This window comes from Homo sapiens, chromosome 6 (genome assembly GCF_000001405.40).
Source record: "Homo sapiens chromosome 6, GRCh38.p14 Primary Assembly".
In the NCBI taxonomy this organism is placed as follows: Eukaryota; Metazoa; Chordata; class Mammalia; order Primates; family Hominidae; genus Homo; species Homo sapiens.
The window spans coordinates 89,724,161-89,746,465 of record NC_000006.12 but is presented as its reverse complement, the minus strand read 5'-3'; the positions used below and the strand labels follow the sequence as shown (position 1 = coordinate 89,746,465).

The window sequence follows — 22,305 nt, the reverse complement described above, 5'->3', positions numbered from 1 at the left end:
GGATTACAGGCAAGCGCCACCATGCCTGGCTAATTTTTGTATTTTTTGTAGAGATGGTGTTTCCCATGTTGGCCAGGCTGGTCTTAAACTCCTGACCTTGTGATCTGCCCACCTCAGCCTCCCAAAGTGCTGGGATTACAAGCATGAGCCACCATGCCCGGCAAACTTTTTTAGTGAGGTGTAACAAACAGTAAAGCATTTTCCCATGTAAAGTATCACCTAGACCAAGATTTAGAATATTTCCAATAACTCAGTAGGTCTCTTGACAGTGGAGGTAATCACTACCCTGACTACTGTCACTACTAATTGACTTCTGTCTGATTATCACTACTAATCTGATTGAACAGCATTTTGCCTGTCCTTGAGTTTCACCTAGCTGACACCATGCAGTATGTACTTTTTGGGTTCTGGGTTTTTCACTAAACCTGATGTGAGATTCAGTCATGCCATTATGTGTATCAGGACTTCATTCTTTTTTTTCTTTTTCTTTTTATGTGGTAATCCACTGTATGACGACACCATAGTTTGTTTATCCATTCTCTTGGTTATGGACATCTGGATCATTTTAATTTTTTAGTTATGAACAAAGCTTCTCTGAACATTCCTGCTTATGTCTTTCGACACACACATGTTCATTGGTGTTTGGGGATACTAGAAGTCATATTGCTGAGGCATAGGGCAGGTATATGGTTAATTGTAATAGGCTGTCCTAGTTCTTCAGATTTCTACCTCACCAGCCGCGTATGAGAGTTTCTATTGTTTCATATTCTCCATATCCCTTGGTGTTCCCGGTAGACACTTGATGATTCCTCTCCTCCTTTTCCTCCTCCTCCTCCCAGGTTATATGCTTCTGGCAGGTCGAGTCAGGAAGCAGGAGGAAATTGATGTGATTCAAGAAGTCCTTGAGAAACATTTCAAGAAAAAATTGTGTCCTCAATCTCTTTTCTCCAAAGAAAATGTTCTAAAATTGCTGGGTGAGTAGGCCAAAATCCCTAGAGGAATATGATTTGAGTTGTACTCATTAGAATCTAAATATTTATTTTTCCTTGGATAGGTAAATTGTCTACTCAGATATCCACATTGGAGTGTAACTTTGGCCATATCGTGTGGACTGAGGGCATGCGGAGACTCGCGATGCTAGTGGGAAGGGCATTGGAATTTGGTGAACCTGTGCTGCTGGTTGGAGACACTGGGTAAAGATCTGTGACAGTGACTCATGAGGGTTCATTTCAATTCCATAGGATTACTTGAGTTATCACTGAAGAACTCATGAAAGTATTAATCCCCCCTTCTTTCCTCCTTCCTCTTTTTTCTTTTTTTTTTTTTTTTTTAAGAAGAGACTAAGAGTGGGTCGGGGGCTGGGGGAGGGATAGCATTAGGAGAAATACCTAATGTAAATCACGAGTTGAGGGGTGCAGCAAACCAACATGGCACATGTATACCTATGTAATAAGCCTGCACATTCTGCACATGTACCCTAAAAAAAAAAAAAAGAAACTAAGATCTGTTACTGTTTAGTTTCCTCTACCTTCAGACTAGGTTCTTTGTTAATGGAAAATAATGGCTTTATTATTATTATTTTTGGAGATGGGGTCTCACTCTGTTGTCCAGGCTGGAGTGCAGTGGTGCGATACGGCTCACTGCAGCCTTGACTTTCTGGACTCAAGTGATCCTCCTGGCTCAGCCTCCCAGGTAGCTGGGACTGCAGGCATGCACCACCACACTTGGCTAATTTTTAAATTTTTTTGTAAAGTCAGAGTCTCAGCTGGTTGTGGTGGTTCATGCCTGTAATCCCAGAACTTTGGGAGGCTGAGGCAGGCGGATCACTTGAGCTCAGGAGTTCGAGACCAGCCTGGGCAACATGGCAAAACCCCGTCTCTACTAAAAATACAAAAATTAGCTGGTTGTGTTGGCATCTGCCTGTAGTCCTAGCTAGTCAGGAGGTTGAGGCAGAAGAATCGCTTGAGCCTGGGAGGCAGAGATTGCACTGAGCTGATATCGTGCCATTGCACTCCAGCCTAGGCAACAGGAGTGAAGCCCTGACTAAAAAAAAGATGGAGTCTCACTATGTTGTCCAGACTGGTCTTGAACTCCTGGGCCCAAGTGATCCTCCTGCCTTGGCCTCCCAAAGTGTTGGGATTACAGGCATGAGCCACACTGTACCTGGCAAGAATGATTTTTTGCTTCATTGCATTGAGGGCAGTTTTTGTCTATTTAGTTCTTTTAAACAGTGAGATTCATTCTATACGTGTGTAGAGAAGAGATAAACTAGTGTCTCTTGAAAGTCTGTCAAGTCTATAAGGATTAGATTTCTTTTCCCTCTCTTGGTGGTGGTTTTTTTTTTTTTTTTTTTTTTTTTTTTAAGAAGGCATTCCGCTCTTGTTACCCAGGCTGGACTGCAATGGCGTGATCTCGGCTCACCACAACCTCCGCCTCCCAGGTTCAAGTGATTCTCCTGCCTCAGCCTCCCAAAGTGCTAGGGTTACAGGCGTGAGGCACTGCGCCCAGCTGGTGATTGTTGATAGAACTAGGTTGGAGTTTGTGCAGTACATACCTTCTGGATAAGAATATGGGAGAGTGCAGTCGTGTAGAGGGGTGCCATGAGCCTGGGGTTGAGGTTCCACATTGGCCAGCACTGTTTACTGCTGCAGTGAGACTCCCACAGTGGTTCTTCTCTTTTGCTGAGGGGGGGTGTTTATGGATGTGTATTTGAAACACATGCCTTGTTAATCAGTTGCACATCTCTAACAGGTGTGGGAAAACTACTATCTGTCAGGTATTTGCAGCCTTGGCAAATCAGAAATTATACTCTGTCAGCTGCCACTTACACATGGAGACATCAGACTTCCTGGGTGGCCTGCGGCCAGTGAGACAAAAGCCAAACGACAAGGTTTGTCCAGCAGCAAGTGTTCCTGTTATTTTAAAAAACTGCAGTTAGCTGTGCATGAGTTAGTGGTGGGGTTTCTGGAGCTGGGTTCTGGTTTGGTTAAATGTGCATATCTGCAGATTTTCTCTGGTCTACAAGGGCCTTCACAAGCATTCTGGTGTGCAAGTTCTATCTCCTGTTCTCAGATTCTTACTTTCCTCAGAATGCCTACTTCACCCCTGGAAACACCAGCCAGCTGCATGTATATTGTCTGTGGAGCCACCTGCCCTTTAATTTTCCCCACTTTTTCAAATTATAGGAAGAAATTGACACATCAAGACTCTTTGAGTGGCATGATGGGCCTCTGGTTCAGGCCATGAAGGAGGACGGCTTTTTCCTCTTGGATGAGATCTCATTGGCCGATGACTCTGTCTTGGAAAGACTCAACAGGTACGTGCCTGAGAGGTTTGCCTTGTGTTTGATATTTTTGTTGGTGTGATTTTTTTTTTTCTCCCTGAGACAGTGTTCTCACTCTGTCACCCCAGGCTGCAGTGCCGTGTCATGATCATAGTTCACTGTAGCCTCAAACTTCTGGGCTCAGGTGATTGATGTGATTTTTATAGATATTTAATCTTGTGCACAGTAATACTTCTCATAGGTGCACCTTAGTAAATGCTTGAAATTATTGATGTATTACCATGTCTTTTGGCTTTAGCATTCAGTGTTTCCTAAATTTCTAGGTTTTTTTTGCTATCAATAATCAGAACAATGGGATCGTGGAATGGTAGGGCTAAAACATGAGCCAAAGTCAAAACTATTTTTTAAAGTGAATTATATCCCTACTCTCTTAATATTTTGAAAGAACTGTAGTCAGAATCCTAGACCCATGGCTATAAGCCATCATCAGACCTCAGACCAATATGAATCTTGATGTAGTAACACCCATTTTTTCTTTTGAGGTATAGTTTACATATCATAAAATGTATATTTCAGTGAGTTTTAGTAAGTTTATAATCCCATGATGGGTTCTTCTTGCAAGCTATATGCATAGAACTGAGTCACTGAGTTAGTGGTATTGCAGTAGAGAAATAATTTAGTAGTTGCAGAGCTAGCCAAGTGGAAGGACAGGAGTTTATTACTCAAATCAGCTTCCTAAAAATTTGGAAGATAGGGGTTTGTTTGTTTATTTTTTTAGACACAGTCTTGCTCTTTATCCCAGGCTGGAGTGCAGTGGTGTGATTTTAGCTCACTGCAACCTCAGCCTTCCAAGTTTGATTGTTGTGCCTCAGCTTCTTGAGTAGCTGGGCTACACATGTGTGCCATCAGGCCCAGCTAATTTTTGCATTTTTAGTAGAGATGGGGTTTTGCCATGTTGGCTAGGCTGGTCTTGAACTCCTGACCTCAGGTGATCCGCCCACCTTGGCCTCCCAAAGTGCTAGGATTATAGATGTGAGCCACTGCACCCGTCCTGGAGGCTAGGGTTTTTTTGTTTGTTTTTTGAGACAGAGTCTACTTCTGTCACCCAGGCTGGAGTGCAGCGATGCGATCTTGGCCCACTGCAACCTCTGCCTCCTGGGTTCAAGCCATTCTTTTCATTCAGCCTCCTGTGTAGCTGGGACTACAGGCATGTGTCACCACTCCCAGCTAATTTTTGTATTTTTAGTAAAGATGGGGTTTCACCATGTTGGCCAGGCTGGTCTCGAACTCCTGACCTCAAGTGATCCTCCTGCCTCTGCCTCCCAAAGTGCTGGGATTACAGGCGTGAGCCACTGTGCCCGGCCGAGGCTAGGGTCAGAGGCCTAGAGAATGGGGAATGCTGTTGGGACAGGGTTGAAATCACAGGAAGTTGAGCTATCTTTTTGCCCTAAATAAGTTCATGGGATCATAAGACCTGTTGAGCCACTTCTTGGTATGGGTTTCCATTCCAGGTGGTGCTAGCCGTTTTATCAGAATCAGGGTCTGAAAAGTACCTTAAACACTAATCTTAGGTTTTATAATAGAGATGTTATCTTATAGGAGCAATTGGGAAGGTTATGAATCTCGTGACCTCTGGCTGTGTCCTGAGCCGTAATTTTAACCTTTTGGTTAGTTTTATGAAGGAGGGGTTAGTTTTGGGGGGGCGCTATTACTTTTCTTTTAAAGTTGAACTGTAAACTAAATTTCTCCCATAGTTTACTTGGCCTATACCCAGGAATGAACAAGGGCAGCTTGGAGGCTAGAAGAAAGATGGAGTCAGTTAGGACAGGTTTTTGTGTTTTTTTTTACTGTCATAACTTTTTGTTAGACTTTTTTCTCACTCATAATTTTTGCAAAGGTGGTTTCAAGCTTTGCAACCATCACAATTTAGTTTTTGTGTTTGTTTTGTTTTGAGACAGCATCCTGCTGTATTGCCCAGGCTGGAGTTTAGTGGTACAGTCTCAGCTCACTGCAGCTTCTGCCTCTCGGGTTCAAGTGATTCTTGTGCCTCAGCCTCCCGAGTAGCTGGGATTACAGGCGTGAGCCAGCACAGTCTGCTAATTTTTGTATTTTTAGTAGAGATGGGGTTTCACCATCTTGGCCAGGTTGGTCTCCAACTCCTGGCCTCAAGTGATCTCCCCACCTTGGCCTTCCAAAGTGCTGGGATTACAGGCGAGAGTCACTGCGCCCGGCCTACAATCCAGTTTTACAACATTTCCATCATTCAATAGAATCCTTTGTGTGCATTACACTAAATTTCTGATTAATCTCTTTTTTGTCTCTGCAGATTTCTTTTCTGGGTATTTCAGATAAAAGTTCTCTTCTCTTACTTTGCATTGATGTTTTGAGGTTCATTCCTATTTCAGCACGTATTATTAGTTTGTTCCTTTTTGTCCCGAATAGTATTGGATATACCACATTTTGTTTATCCATTCACCAGTCAATGATATTTGAGTTCTTTCTAGTAGTTGGCTATTATGATAATGCATGCAATTTATTTGTTTTCTTGTAAGTTATTCATTTTTAAGACCAATGCCTTAATAGTTTATAAGTTGAAAAGTTTTTTTTTCTTGATCAGAAATAGCCATTATTACACAGAAATTGGGATAGTGAGTCATTTTAAAATTTGTGATAGGAAACCATTAACTAAAGTAAAAATTCAGTAGAAAGAAGATAACTTTTTTTTTTCTTTTAAAGAGCATTGAAGATTGTAAAACAGAAAGATTGTATAAGCCCTTTTCACTGTTCTTCAATTTTTCTTTTAGTGTCCTTGAAGTAGAAAAGTCTCTGGTATTAGCTGAAAAAGGCAGTCCAGAGGACAAGGATAGTGAAATAGAGCTGTTGACTGCTGGGAAAAAATTTCGTATTCTAGCAACCATGAACCCTGGGGGTGACTTTGGAAAAAAGGAGGTAAAACTTTACTGATGCACATTTTCTTTCTAGGTTTTGACCTCAGCTTACTGGTACTCGTAAATATAGTATGTAATAATGGATTTGGAATTTTATGTTAGGTAAAAAGTGGGTAAAAAGTGTAAAAACTCAAAAATATTTTAAAATAATTATTGGGTTAGAAAAAAATTCTGACACAAATATCTCCTTATTTGATATCTCACTTTGTGTATGTGCCTGAAATGTCATTGTTACAGTCACTTTGCCTAGCCCTTTACATATGTTACCCTGAGAAAGCTCACAGGAGCTCTGCAAGAAAGTTATTATTGTAGTTTTATGGATGAGAAAAGTTGGATCTGAAATTTAAGTTTAACCTCTGTTTTTACAGTCCACTTTCTTAAACACACCTCTGCTTTCATGGGTGGTTTTAAAGTGACAAAAAAGTCACAACCAGGAACCCTCTTCTGGTTTGTAGATGGAGCTTATTTGTTCTCGTAAGGGTTATGTGTGTCACTTTCTGACTGCTGATAAAGTAAAGGGCAGAGGGTAGTTCCTATGTTCAGAGGGTTGTGTTCAGATATATTTGGGAACCAACAACCTTGTTGGTTTCCAGCTCAAGAAACCTTTCAGTGGAGAAGTCAGCACTATGTGTTGGATCCCAGTCTGTTAAAGTTAGGAAGAGAGTGATGTAACAGGTCAGGGATGATGAGAAGAAACAGAGGGGTTGATCTTAAATAAGACAATTAAGAGTGTTGGTAATTTGGTGGGTAGCTGAAATGATATATTGGGCCTAGGTTTCCTCAGTATCATAAGATGAAAATTGTCTCTATGCTTCAAGATATGCTCTGAAGAGAGGGAATAAAATACATTGCATTCAAAATATAAAAACTGGCTTCTGGGCAAGTAGAAATGCCACAGAGAGGTCTGATTTCAAGTTTGTGTATATTAGCTTGGCTGTCAGATTATCTTATCTTGTTTTCCTCAAGTCAATGCTTGCTGACTTTTACCCAAGGGAAAGTTACTTTTTAGTTTCGCATGCCTAACAAGCAGAGCAAGGTAGGATGCTGGACACCGGAGGTACTGGTTGTCTATGATACTGATGAGGTACACACACGTATGCTTTATTCCTGGGCCTCTGTGGTAGACCAGATAGATGATCATCAAGTAAAAGGAAAGTAATTACAAAGTAATCAGACAAACCAATAATGATGCTTATGTGGCATTGCAAACATTTGTGAATAGTGTCAACTGACCTTGTGGTGGGAAAAGGAATCTACAGGGGCAAAGGCCCTAAGACTGGAGTGGCTAAACAATTTCTTGTTATTCAAGAGGTAGAATATATACTTTTTAAAATCACACTCTCATTGAGCTATGTAAAAGAAGTTTCTTCCTCCTACATCAGACTGCCCTTCTCTGTGGGAAGACAGGTGTTTATTTTCTCTGAAGTATTATTTAGGTACCTGATGCAAAGTAAAGGTAAAGTAAAAGGAAGAATCTTTGCCTGAGGGGAAGAGTTCAGATTTGACTGGGACTGGCTGGAATCCTGCTTCCACCACTTAGTCTGTAAGGCCTCTGGACCACGTCTATTAAGAAAGTGATGATGATACTGGAAGGTGTCATGGAATATAAGGAGTCAAGACAAAGTACATCTTCAATTAATTATATCTGATAGTAGAAATAATTTTTAAAAGTGTGTAGTATTTGCTGGACTTAACAGCTAACAACATTCTTTCAAGACTTGTTTTCCAGCTTTCCTTACAGTTTTAAAAATTCACATTGAAGTTTTGTGTTTCTTATAGCTGTCTCCTGCCTTAAGAAACCGGTTTACAGAAATATGGTGCCCTCAAAGCACAAGCCGTGAAGATTTAATTCAGATCATCAGTCATAATCTTCGTCCAGGATTGTGTCTGGGCAGAATAGATCCTAAAGGTGAGAGTTTGCAGGTGGTGATGGTAGTATTGGGTCATAGAAGGGTTTGTGTTGGGAGTTGAGGGATCTCTTACAGGACATCAGCCCTGTGTGTATATGGTGTGTTATAAGAAGAAAGGAGATAGGTAAATGAAACAAAGTAGACAAGGAGAATATTACTATTCTGTTACCTTCTGTTAAAGTGTCCCATCTTCATATTTTCATCATTACCACTTGACACAATGGCTGTAGAATTTCAGCTGCATTTCTTTAGTTGTCATCAATGAACATGTTATTCTTTCACTTTATTTAAAAATTTTTTTGGCTAGGTGTGGTGGTTCACACCTGTAATCCCAGCACTTTGGGAGGCCAAGGTGGGCGGATCACTTGAGGTCAGGAGTTCGAGAGCAGCCTGGCCAACATGGCGAAAACCCATCTCTACTAAAAATACAAAAATTAGCTGGGTGTGGTGGTGGGCACCTGTAATCCCAGCTACTTGGGAGGCTGAGGCAGGAGAATCGCTTGAACCTGGGAAGTGGAGGTTGCAGTGATCCAAGATCGCGCCATTGCACTCCAGCCTGGGCAGCAGAGCCAGACTCCATCTCAAAAAAAAAAAAAAAAAATTAGGCTGGGATTGCACCATTGTACTCCAGCCTGGGCGACAGACTCCATCTCAAAATTAATTAATTAATTAAATAATTTTTATTATGAAAAATCTCAGGCACAAGGAAAATAGATTAGTATCCATAATCTAGAATTAACAATTTAAAATATCCAATAAAAGGCAACACTCCTAACTATATGGTTCTTTTTGTTTTTGAAGCCTGTATTGGTTTGATGTATGCATATTTATCTTAGACATTCAATGGAATAAATTTAGAACCCAGATCTGGTTCCAAGACTAAATACATAGTTTTTTGGATCATTTTTTATATTCTTAAAGAATATAAAAAAAAGATATCTGCTTCTTGGAAATTGGAATTCATGGCTATGTTTCACTTTTTAAAGGTGCCCTACCACACATTTTCTAAAATGAGTAGAGTAGCTGTAGAGAGCATCTAATCTGCATGGAACCCATTCTCACCTGTGGTGTTTTAGGGACGACTGATTCTTTAGTCATCTGAGCAAAGACTTCTTTTTAGGAATGGCCCACGGTGAACTGCCACATTTATAGGTACGCACACTGCTGCTTGAATGGCCAGAATTCCCCATGCCTTGTTGAACTTCCTTTTTTCTCTACAGTCTCTACCAATATCACAGTCACCCAGTGGCATAAGAATTGACTAAGCCTGTAGTTAGTTGTCAGACTCATTTGGAGGGCTTGTTGAAGTGCAGCTTACAGGGCCCCACACCCAGTGTTTCTTATTCAGCAGGGGCAGAGAATTTGTCTGTCTAACAAAGCCTCAGGTGATGCCACTAATACTGGTCTAAGGCCCAGGCTCAGAGCCTCAGAACTCAGAACCCATGACTCTTGTGTGCTGTTTGCAGCAGCACATTTACTGTGAGAATTCCAGTAAAAGAAGAAGTATAATACAGACTTTTCTGGGGGGTTGTGGGGAGACAAGGTCTCTGTCACCCAGGCTGGAGTGCAGTGGTGGAATCACGGCTCACAGCGGCCTTGACCTCCTGGGCCCAGGTGATTCTCCTGTCTCAGTCTCCCAAATACTTGGCACTGTAGGCATGCACTACCACGCCAGGCTAATTTTTGTGTTTTTTTTTTGAGAGATGGGGTTTCACCATGTTGCTCAGGCTAGTCTGGAACTCCTGGGCTCGAGTGACCCGCCTGCTTTGCCCTCCCTAAGTGCTGGGAACTAGGCAGGAGCCAGAAGACCAAAGCAGGCCTGAAGACAGAAATCGTTAACCAAGCATGGTTTGTCTTTTGGGTCTGTGTCGGGGCTGGATTCCTTCAGGAAGTTACCTTTTCATCTCCTATGGGCTGTGCTTATTCCTTTGTTATTTGGATTGTGATAAGAATGACAGAGGGTTCAGTTGCTGTCACGACCATGCTTGCTGCATCACCAGTGTGCTCCATGCAAGCATGGGAGCCCTGAGGACTTACCTCTGAGCCCACACCTTGTCCTTAAGGAGCTTGTTTACTCCAGGCTTTCTAGGCTACACAGCAGCAGACTTCCCAGGGAGGCATTAGAGACCTTGAAGGGGAGCATGGTGAATAAGGGAAGTGGCTTAATAATTCACAGCAGTTATATTTTCTAGAAATAGATCAGGAAGGCACAACATAAAAACTTCTTTAAAAAATTGTGAAATATAAAACAGGAAACTAGACAAAGCTTTTTGTTTTTAGATTTTCTTTAAAGATAGTTAAGATTTGATGAATTTATTTATTTTTTTGAGACACAGTCTTGCTATGGTGCAATCTTGGCTCACTGCAACCTCTGCTTCCTGGGTTCAAGCAATTCTCCTGCCTCAGCCTCCCGAGTAGCTGGGACTACAGGCATGTGCCACAACGCCCAGCTAATTTTTGTATTTTTAGTAGAGACGGGGTTTCACCATGTTGGCAAGGATGGTCTCGATCTCTTGACCTTGTGATCCGCCCGCCTTGGCCTCCCAAAGTGCTGGGATTATAGGTGTGAGCCACCATGCCTGGCCGAATTTAATATTTTAACTAATAGTGTCCTTCTAAATTGAATTCTGATCCTAATTGTAGTACTTATATTTATTGTATTATCTTAATGAGTATATAAATACCACTGTGGGTTCTACTTAATTTCTCTAGTATTTTTAGTTCACAAATCTCTGTAGTAATATTATCCATATATTCACAGTATGACCAAAACAAAAGATTCTAAAAGCCAGTCATGGTAGTACGTGCCTATAATCTTAGCTACTCAGGAAGCCAAGGTGGGAGAAACCCTTGAGCCTAGGAGTTTGAGATTACAATGAACTATGATTATACCATTGCACTCCAGCCTGGGCAACAGAGTGAGACCCCATCTCTTTAAAAAAAAAAAAAAAAAAGGTTCTGTGATATTGATGTGTTTAAAAAAAAAAAAAATTGACCTGTGAAAGGCACATGAACTGCTTTTTACAATCTCAAACTTTTGTAAACAATACTTCTGTATTACATTGGTTAATGTACCAAGTATTGGTACATTAGTCAATACTTTAATGAACCATTCTGTTTCATTAAAACAAACTATTGGCCGGGTGCTTTCTTTCACACCTGTAATCCCAGCACTTTGGGAGGCCGAGGAGGGCAGATCACGAGGTCAAGAGATTGAGACTATACTGGCCATCATGGGAAATCCCGTCTCTACTAAAAATACAAAAATTAGCTGGGCGTTGTGGCAGGCGCCTGTAGTCCCAGCTACTTGGGAGGCTGAGGCAGGAGAATCGCTTGAACCCGAGAGGTGGAGGTTGCCGTGAGCCAAGATCACACCACTTCACTCCAGCCTGGGCAACAGCATGAGACTGTCTCAAAAAAAAAAACAACCAAGAAACAACTATCATTTACAATGATTTCCTTGTGTTATATTCTAAAAGTGGAGATAAGAAACTGTATAGTTCTCCTTAGATAAGGTCAGATTGCTCTCCAGAAAGATGGTATCATTTACAACACTGCCAGCAATGTAGTGAATGTGCCTGCATGCCACAGTCCCTCCATCAGGGAGTTCTCTCTCTCTCTCTCTCTCTCTCTTGTTTTTTTTTTTTTTTTTTTCTTCTTCCTTTGAGACAATGTCTGGCTCTGTCATCCAGGCTGGAGTACAGTGGCACAATATTGACTCACTGCAACTTCTGCCTCCCAGGCTCAAACCATTCTCCCACCTCACCCTCCCAAGTAGCCAAGTAGCTGGAACTACAGACGTGCCCACCATGGCCAGCTAATTTTTGTGTATTTTGTAGATACAGGGTTTTGCCATATTGGCCAGGCTGGTCTGAACTGGGATTATAGATAGGAGCCATGGTGCCTGGCCTCATTTTAAAAAATATAGTGAAATCCATTATTTTATCCTTATTAGTTTAGCAGAGGTTTAAAATTTCCTTGTCTTTTGTTATTAGTGACATGGAACATTGTTTGTGTTTTATTTTTATTTTTATTTTTTTGAGACAGAGTCTCACTCTGTCACCCAGGCTGGAGTATAGTGGTGCCATCTTGGCTCACTGCAACCTCTGCCTCCCAGGTCCAAGCAATTCTCGTGCCTCAGCCACCCAAGTAGCTGAGATTACAGGCACGTGCCACCATGTCCAGCTAATTTTTGTATTTTTAGTAGAGACGGGGTTTCACCATGTTGGCCAGGGTGGTCTTGAACTCCTGGCCTCTAGTGATCTGCCCGCCTCAGCCTCTCAAAGTGCTGGTATTACAGGCATGAGCCACCGTGCCTGGCCTTTATTTTTAATGAATTAATCATTTTGCATTTGGTATTCATTATGTCTTTTGGGGTGATACTTTTTATTACATTTTTCACAGGTTTTAATATTCTGTTACCTTTATATATTTGTTTTAAAAATACATATGTGAACCTATTTCTCTCTGATTTTGTTTCTTAAATGGTCAAAATTTAATTTCTATTAATGGATTTTTTCATTTTCATTTTTTTAATTTACCTGGAATTTATTCTTCTCTGAAGTGTAGATCTAAGTACTAGTATTTACTATCTAGTTGTTGAAATAGCATTTAATTTGTTTCCTCATTGTTACTGGAATTTCCCCTTTGCTTTGTCATTTTAAGCTCTTTTTAAAGAGTTTTTTTTTTTTTGTAATCAGTATTCTTCCAACCAATTACATTTCTTCTAAATCACAATCTATATAGCTTTGGAGGCTGTATATATATATAGCTTTTGGAGGCTGCTTTATATTATAGCAGTGCTTCCTTCTAATCTTTTCTTTCTTTTTAAAATATTCTTTGATATTCATACTTTAGAGATAAATGTCTACTGTTGTTGACTTAAGACGTTTTATAAAGTACTCTGCTCAATTTAATTGGGATTACTTTGAATCTATATATACTACTTAAGTATTTTCTTTATTTAGAGACAAATATTATCTGATAGGAAATTGTGATAATTAGAATATTCAACTTGATTCATGAAACAAAATTTGTGAACCCCCTAATTTGCTGAATTCTGATTGCTGAATAGATGTAAAAAAAAAGAAAAAAGAAAAAAACTTGAATGCATGCCATTGAAAAGATGACATTCTTTATTGCATTAAATGGAAAAAATAAATTTATTTAAAATACAAGTAAAATTATAAGATATAACAAAATTTGCATATTTTCTAAAATAATTATAATAGAAGTTCAAAACTGTGTCCGAACTCAAATCAAATGAATATTTCTTTGAGCAGTTTTCAGGTCAGTATCTAAAACTATAACTCCCAAGGTTTTGTTTTGTTCTTTGGATAGGGATGGACTGCTATTGATGAATCCTTTCAGAATTTGATCAAAGCTGCAGGCTGCTTTTGTTAGAAACAGCATTTATGTACATTCATTCACAGAACTTTGCTTAGAAGGAGCAGAGACCCCTTTTAGGCCATTTGTGTGCCCCTGGTTATGAACTTTTGTTCTGGGATCTCCCGTTAACAGCAAATGCTTTTTTTGTTTCTTGTGTTTAGGGTCTGACATACCTGAAGTGATGCTGGATTTCATTGACTGGCTGACCCACCAAGAGTTTGGCAGAAAGTGTGTGGTCAGTATCAGAGATATCCTGTCCTGGGTTAACTTCATGAACAAAATGGGGGAGGAAGCTGCTTTGAAAAGGCCAGAGATCATCTCCACTGTGACATCTTTTGTCCATGCTGCATGCCTGGTGTACATAGATGGAATAGGTTCAGGTATGTTGTCTGGTAGCTGGTGGGGACAAGGGGCTCGTATAGAGGGGCATAGGAAAAGGAGCAAGCCCAGGCCTCTGACCCAGCTATTTTACTGAATCACTTCTCAGAACATTTCTAAAACTCAGAATGGCTTTCCTTTTGTTTGTACTCTTTGAAAGGTGATTGGCACACAGGATACACTGCAACTTCTCAAAGCTGGTAGACCAGGTACTTAACAAACATGAAGTGGTGATTATGAGTAGAGTAAAGACTGCTGAAATGTCTTTGCTTCTGAAGCACTGGCTTTTTTTTTTTTTTTTAAATTAAGTTCTGGGATACATGTGTTAGGAATAATGCTTAAAATTGTAAAGAAATTGAACACTTAAACAAAGGGTTTTTAGCAAAGCAATTTTATTTTTGTGCAGAGGGGTGTTTTTTTGGCCAGTTGCCATGAGAGTACACTTGAACAAAGGGCACGAGAGCCTTTATTTTTGATGCAAGTTTTGTTTTTGTATTTTTCTTTTATTGGCCGGGGTTGGGTTGTATAATTTAAACTCATTTTGGTTGGCTAGACATTTGAATTTTTTTAGATAAGGTGGACATGTTAAAGAAAGTGGAGAGGAAGGGGGAGGGGTGTTTGTAATGAGTTAGAAAGTTAGTTTTTTTTTTTTAAATAAGGAAAGGAATGTGAGCTGGTATTGATAACGCCTGGTATTGTGGCATGCCTGGGCATTTAACAAAGGAAAAAAGGAGAAAAAGGAAAAGGTGGGGGGGGGGGGCGGTACTATGAATTAAAGAATAAAAGATTGATCAGATTATTTGAAGAGAAACCGAATATGCGGGTTTGTTACATAAGTATACATGTGCCATGGTGGTTTGCCGCACCCATCAACCCGTCATCTAGGTTTTAAGCTCCTCATGCATTAGGTATTTGTCCTAATGCTCTCCCTCCCCTTGCCCCCCATCCCCTGACAGGCCCCAGTATGTGATGTTCCCCTCCCTGTGTCCATGTGTTCTCATTGTTCAACTCCCACTTATGAGTGAGAACATGTGGTGTTTGGTTTTCTGTTCCTGTGTTAGTTTGCTGAGGATGATGGTTTCCAGCCTCATCCATGACCCTGCAAAGAACATGCACTTATTTTTTATGGCTGCGTAGTATTCCATGCTGTATATGTGCCACATTTTCTTTATCCAGTCTATCATTGATGGACATTCGGGTTGGTTCCAAGTCTTTGCTATTGTGAATAGAAGCACTGGCCAATGTTTAACATGAGTAGTAATTTTTTGATAATGGGCCTGAATATTTTAAGTTTATTTTAATGTCATAAAAATCACTGTGGTTTTTCAGCCATGAAGATTTGAAATATAAATAAAAATGGTTACTAGTGCCATATTAGGTACTGTATGTAGGCTGATTTATCACTGAGTGACTAGAGTGCTTTACTGAATGATCTGCTGCTTAATTGATAATCCATAGATTGTGGGGGATGCGTGTTGGACTTCTTTCTTAGGACTGCTTACACTAGAAATCACATTTAGGCTGCAGTTTTGCTGAGGCCTCTTTTTTCCGGGAACCTGTGCTAGAGCTCCTGCTTAATGGTGGTGAAGCTTGGTGTTGTACTGTTGCTTCATGGACTGATCCTCTGTCTTTTAGGGGTAACTTCCTCTGGGTTTGGTACAGCCCTTTTGGCACGAAAAGAATGTCTGAAATTTCTAATCAAGAGGCTTGCCAAGATAGTACGACTTACAGAATATCAGAAAAATGAGTTGAAGATTTATGACAGAATGAAGGCCAAAGAATTCACTGGAATAGATAACCTTTGGGGAATTCATCCATTTTTTATACCAAGGGGTAAGAATGATTTTTAAAAAATGAATTTTCCTTTTCTATAGATCATAGATACTTGGCTTTTATTGTGACTTAGTTTTAATGTGTAATACTCATGATTATATTTGCACTAACTGAGTTAGATTCTGACTTGAGAATAACCATAATTGTGTGAATGGTTGAAAATACCTGACTGGCATGTAAAAATAGAGGGAAATAGAGACTTCAATCTATAAATAGATTGTCTTATACAGTGCTTATTTTTTTATTAGTTGGTTCCCACATTAGGAACTTTCCTATAGTAAAGCTCTAAACTCTACTAATGTTGACAATAAACTTTTAAGTGGCTTGCAAAGACCTATTTAGCCTATAATGTATCTTAACTATACAACCTCATCATCTTTTACAGAAACAGGTTTTGTGAACCCTTGAAGGCTGGTAATGTGTCATTCCTGATCCGGTCCCTGGCATCTGACATTTAGGCCTCACAGTCATAGGCACTCAGAAAATTTCTGATGGATGAGTGAATGATTAAATGGGAAATGCAGTAGTCTAGGAGATAGTGGGTTTGTGTTCTAATTCTTTCTCTCTTTCTATCTAACTAGATTGTCTCTACCAAGTATTTAAATGAGGCAGTTAGATTAGCTACTTCTAAGGTGCTTCTACTTTTTCAGGATGTTGTTTCTGTAGCAGAGTCATCTGTTTCTTGTCCCTCCGCCCTCTCTATGTTAATGATTGATGAATGCCTGAAGTATATGGAGTTGCAGTGGCAATTACTGGGGTTTCAGTGGTGAACATAACCAGTCCAGGTTCCATTGCCCTTGCCCCTGTCCTCAGAGCTCCATCTCTCCTTAGCAGTATTCTCTCTTCATCCCTGATGGGCTGTATAATCTAACCATCAAATCCCTTCTCTAAGCCACCATCATAGGACTCAGTGCTCCTGTGTAGGAGATACATGCTAGTGGCCTAGAACTGGGGTGGTCCTTGCTTCTGCTACCAAGGGTGAGGTAATAAATGTTTTCCTAGCCTCACTCCCTTCAAACTGGTGTACAAAAAAAAAAAAAAAAAAAAACGAAAACAAAACAAAAACTTCTTCCAAGAGACAGTGGCACAAATGTTAAATATTACAAGACTGTTATTAGTCCTGCATATCAGTTAACTTACAGGTTAAGGACACAGTGTGAATTGTTTTGGTGGCCAAAAACATTGGATGAAGTTGATTATGTGGAACCATGTGGCCCATATGCCTAGCTTACACTTGGTTTTTAGGAAAGTAACTATGAAGGTAAATTGTACAAGTACATACAGTGATTCAGGGTGTAGGTTGTGAAAGGACAGGTGTGTGTTTGCATGTACATGTATGTGTATAGGAGATGGAGAGATCTGTGTAGTAGGCACTGTTGAAGAAAACGTGTTATTGGATATTCCTTTAAAGCATTTTATGGATCTAAAAGTGGGGAAATATTGAAATAGGGATTGAACATTTTCACTGCAAATGGTATTTCACTAACTGATAACCCATGTGGTAGATTTTTAAAATCTTGAGTTGATGCATACATGTGATTTGATGATGTCCCGCTTATACATGACTTTACTTTTCTCCACTTAAGGACCTGTCCTACACAGGAATAATATTGCAGACTATGCACTCAGTGCAGGGACCACTGCTATGAATGCACAGAGGCTCTTAAGAGCTACCAAACTGAAGAAGCCCATTCTCCTGGAGGGTTCCCCTGGTGTTGGCAAGACAAGTTTGGTGGGAGCATTAGCAAAGGCTTCAGGAAATACCCTTGTTAGAATCAACTTATCAGAGCAAACGGTAAGCTCGGTCATCCTACAGCTGATGGAGATAGCTATAGATAGTAATGTCTGTGTCAATTTATATTTGCCTAATCAGAAATGATTACATTATCAGTATCCTCAAATTTTTCTTTTCTTTTCTTTTCTTTGTTTTTTTGAGACAGAGTCTCGTTCTGTTGCCCAGGCTGGAGTGCAGTGGGGTGCAATTCTCCTGCCTCAGTCTCCCTAATCACTGGGATTACAGGTGCCCGCCACCACACCTAGCTAATTTTTGTATTATTATTAGAGACAGGGTTTCACCATGTTGGCCAGGCTGGTCTCAAACTCCTTATGTCAAGTGATCCACCTGCCTTGGCCTCCCAAAGTGTTGGGATTACAGGCGTAAGCCATGGCGCCTGGCCTGTATCCTCAGATATTTCATATCATAATAAAGCCCACAGCAACATGACCTTCCAAACTAAATCTTCTTTGGATTTGTTAATTGCTGACACCTATAATATTAATTCTCTCTGGATGCTTTATTCTAATTCTCTTTCGAGAGAGAATTATCCACTTTGGTATTTATTGTAATATAACCCCAGTTAATTTTTTGCTTAAATTTTTTTTTAAAAAGTGGTAGAAATAAAATGACTTTTAACAATCTAAGGAAAATATGGTACAGATGACAAATTGAATGAGAATCCTTTGGAATAGGATTTTGTTTTCTTTTTTTTTTAAGCCTGTCAATTAAATTCCAAGTACAGCCAATGTTGAGAACTGTTAATCTAGAGCACCAGCTCAAATTGATTGATATATGGAACATGTTGGGAAAGTTCTTGGGGGCATGTTTGGGCTCCTGGTAAAGAGAGCTGGGATTGGTTAGTTCTATCTTGGGTGTAGGAAGGAAGAGTAGTGGTGCCAGCCCCAAGTATTTATCATTTCAGATTTAGGGTGTTAGAATCCAGTTGATTTTTAAAGTAATAATGGCTTCTTTCCATTTCTTCCCCTTTCAAAGGACATCACAGACCTGTTTGGAGCAGATCTACCTGTTGAAGGTGGCAAGGGAGGAGAGTTTGCCTGGCGTGATGGCCCCTTACTGGCAGCTTTGAAGGCAGGCCATTGGGTGGTGTTGGATGAGGTGAGGGGCCTGTTTGTCATGCCCAAGACGGTGATCATGTGTGTGAGGAGCAGTCATCCTTTCACAGCTCCATTTCACAATCCATTTCTCAGTGGAAGATCCCGCTGATGACTTTTCTCTAATGAAAAGATCCTCTGTAGTTTTCTTTAAGAATGAGGAAGGTCACTTGGCAGAATACACAAAAAGAGGCCCTTGTACATAAAACCTACAAACTCTCCCACTGTTTAAAGTTATCCTTCAGAGGAAAACTGCATCGTCACTAGTTTAGTCTCTGACAGGCTTGCCGTTTCTGCATTTATTTTAGAGGCATTTTATAAATAGCGTCAACCGCTTCATGTTTTATTAGTGCACCGGAGAGACTAAGGAAAGACATACAAAATGACCTACTGAAATGAGGAAACGATCCGTTATGTGTGCATATGGGGTAAATTATTCATCAGAAGAAAGAGCAGAGTATGAGACATGATAAATACTGAATCTCTGACAACTAGAGATATGGAGCTGGGTCAGTTTGGGGTGTACAATATTCAGGAAAAGGCTAGAAATATTTGTGGAGCTGAAATGATTAGAGTGATGTACGTGTCACAGGTGAGACTTTGGACACAGGCTGCAACAGGTCCCCCAGGTTCAGACTCCTGGGTCTGATCATCAGAGAGGGTGCTGTGGGACTCCTGTCTGCTGAGCTGCTTTCTGCCTTTTATTCTTGGGATAACAAGGAGAGGGAATTTTTTTCCATTTTTCAGATTTTTTTTTGAACAAGATGTCTGATAGAATATATATTAGCCAGGAAAAGAGAAAGCCTAGTTTTAAAGCTGAAGGCTACTGACCATACTTAGTATTTAGTGGAATTGCATATTTAGTGGAATTGCATTCAGGGACGACAAGACATTCTAGATTTATAAACACATTTAAGAGCGGCCTTCTGTTTGGGAATATACAGAAGTGTTTGTGCTTTGTGGTGCTTGTGTAAACATGACACTTGAAATTCTAATGTAGTGTGCTCTGATTTTTGCCTGTTTGCATTTTAATAACTTGTATTTTCCCGATCTCCTTTTTCTATGTTACCAACAAACCACACATGCTTCACATCCCTGAGCTCTGAACTACTCATCTGAAGACCTACATTCAGCTCTTTTCATCCTGGCACAAGAGCCCCTTGTAATTGTTCTTATTTACAAAATTGGTGGAAATCAGCTGTATTAACTCACTTTATATCCTGACTTTGAAACCCGTTGGAGATTTTGTTCAGTGTTTGAGATGGGAAAGTATTTAAAGAGTTAACAAACCTTATCTATTCTCTACAATTAGTGTTACATGTCTTTTTCTTTTTCTTTTCTTTTTTTTTTTTTTCTATTTTTCTTTTTTTTTTTAGGCAGAGTCTCAGTCTGCCGCCCAGGCTGGAGTGCAGTGGTGGGTTCTCGGCTCATTGTAACCTCCTCCTCCCAGGTTCAACTGAATCGTGAATCTCCTGCCTCAGCCACCTGAGTAGCTGGGATTACAGTCATGCACCACAATGTCTAAGTTTTGTATTTTTAGTAGAGACAAGGTTTCGCTATGTTGGCCCGCCTGGTCTTGAACTCCTGGCCTCAAGTGATCCACCTGCCTCGGCCTTCCAAAGTGTTGGGATTACAGGCATGAGCCACCACTCCTGGCTAATTTGTGTTACACATCTTAAAAACTCAGATTGTGAAAATGAAATATCTGTGTATTGGCAAGTTTTTCTGCAAGTTATTACTTACAGAGCAGGTTAATATAGGTTATATGTAATGGATACAGTTTAACTTTTGAGAAGATTCTTAACTTTAAAATTTAATTTGAGCATTTATTCAGTTTAAAGATTATTAATATATGTGTGTATATATACGTGTGTGTGTGTGTGTGTGTGTGTGTGTGTGTGTGTGTATAAAATACCAGACAAAATCTCTAACATACATGGGAAATAAAGAATAATAGAATTGGACCAGGTACAGTGGCTTATGCCTGTAATTCTAACATTGGGAAGCTAAGGTTGGAGAATTACTTGAGCCCGGGAGTTTGAGACCATCCTGGACAACATAACAAGACCTTGGCTCTACCAAAAAAAAAAAAAAAAGAATTAGCTGGATGTGGTGGTGCACACCTGTGGTCACAGCTATGCAGCAGGCTGAGATGGGAGGATCTCTTGAGCCCTGGAGGTAGAGGTTGCAGTGAGCTGTGATTGTGCCACTGCACTGCAGCCTGAGTGACAGAGTGAAACCCTGTCTCAAAAACAAAAGCATAATAGAATGAAGACAAACCAACCATAACTCAGCCAAAAATACAGAAGGTTATCAATATTGTTTGAAATTCCCTTTCTGAAGATAACTCTAGCTTTATTTGCTGCATATTATTCCCCTGCTTTTTGTTGCAGTTGTATAATATATTTGAGACAAATTATGTACTTTCTTCTTTAAATAGCTTAACCTGGCTTCTCAGTCTGTATTGGAAGGACTCAATGCTTGTTTTGACCACCGAGGAGAAATCTATGTGCCTGAGTTAGGAATGAGCTTTCAAGTGCAGCATGAAAAGACGAAGATTTTTGGGTGTCAGAATCCCTTTAGACAAGGAGGTGGGAGGAAAGGCTTGCCCAGGTCTTTCCTTAACAGATTCACTCAGGTAAGATTTGCTGTTGCCATAGAGACCAAAGATAGACTCGGAGGGGATAAGACTACTATTATGAAGCCTTTAAGGATATTCACTATGAGAATTAGAGAGGATCAGCTTAATGATCCTCTTTCTTGTCCTTATATGATCAATATTAATGTGACTGATTCCCATCATTGCTTCTGTCCTTCATCTTTTGCCCTGGAAGACTAGATGTGTTATCAGCTGGAAGAAAGTAAGGTCCCCAGCCTTTTCAGGATTCTGTGACTGCACTCTGGGATGAAGTCCAATCTTGGACCTTTTCAATTGTCCCTCTGATCTGTTGAAATATATAAGAAAAATTTTTATTGAAAATAATGCATTTTAACTAAAGAAAAGAAAGAACAGAAAACTACTATGAAGAATAAAAATCCACTATTCCCCAGTCAGTCATTATTAACATTTTGGTATCTTATGCCTTTATTCTTACTTGCAGAGGGGTACCTGTGTATGTGTATGCTTACTTGTTTTAACATCAGTTTTTCAGAGTTTGGCCAATCCAGAGGTTTGGAAATGTCTCTAGATTTCTTTAGTGTCACTGTCTCTTATGATTAAGAATTGGCTGAGTATCTTTTAAGAATGTTTTATTGGCTGGGCATGGTGGATCATGCCTGTAATCCCAGCACTTTGGGAGGCCAAGGCAGGTGAATCACCTGAGGTCAGGAGTTCGAGACCAGTCTGGCCAATATGGCGAAACCCCGTCTCTATTAAAAATACAAAAATTAGCTGGGTGTGGTGGCAGGTGCCTGTAATCCCAGCTACTGAGGAGGCTGAGGCAGCAGAATCTCTTGAACCCGGGAGGCGGAGGTTGCAGTGAGCTGAGATCGCGCCATTGTACTCCAGCCTTGGCAACAGAATGAGACTCCATCTTAAAAAAAGAAGAATGTTTTATTGAGAAAACTTTCAAACATATGGAAAAATTGGATGACTTTTATAGTGAATACTCGTATCTACCACCCAGATTTAAAAGCATTTTACATTATACATAGGAAATTTTTAATAACATGTATC

At 40.1% G+C, this 22,305-nt stretch overlaps 1 protein-coding gene across 1 annotated transcript in view; it reads left to right on the top strand.

The window, feature by feature from the left end:
• Positions 1–22,305, top strand: part of MDN1 (midasin AAA ATPase 1) — a 177,297-nt gene that overhangs the window by 73,329 nt on the left and 81,663 nt on the right. The window contains exons 28-38 of the mRNA NM_014611.3: positions 840–974; positions 1,055–1,193; positions 2,752–2,890; positions 3,186–3,316; positions 6,088–6,232; positions 8,011–8,140; positions 13,691–13,909; positions 15,543–15,740; positions 17,327–17,535; positions 18,511–18,633; positions 21,070–21,267. Coding sequence (NP_055426.1) covers positions 840–974; positions 1,055–1,193; positions 2,752–2,890; positions 3,186–3,316; positions 6,088–6,232; positions 8,011–8,140; positions 13,691–13,909; positions 15,543–15,740; positions 17,327–17,535; positions 18,511–18,633; positions 21,070–21,267 — 1,766 coding nt within the window. The remainder of the gene's footprint in view (positions 1–839; positions 975–1,054; positions 1,194–2,751; positions 2,891–3,185; positions 3,317–6,087; positions 6,233–8,010; positions 8,141–13,690; positions 13,910–15,542; positions 15,741–17,326; positions 17,536–18,510; positions 18,634–21,069; positions 21,268–22,305) is intronic.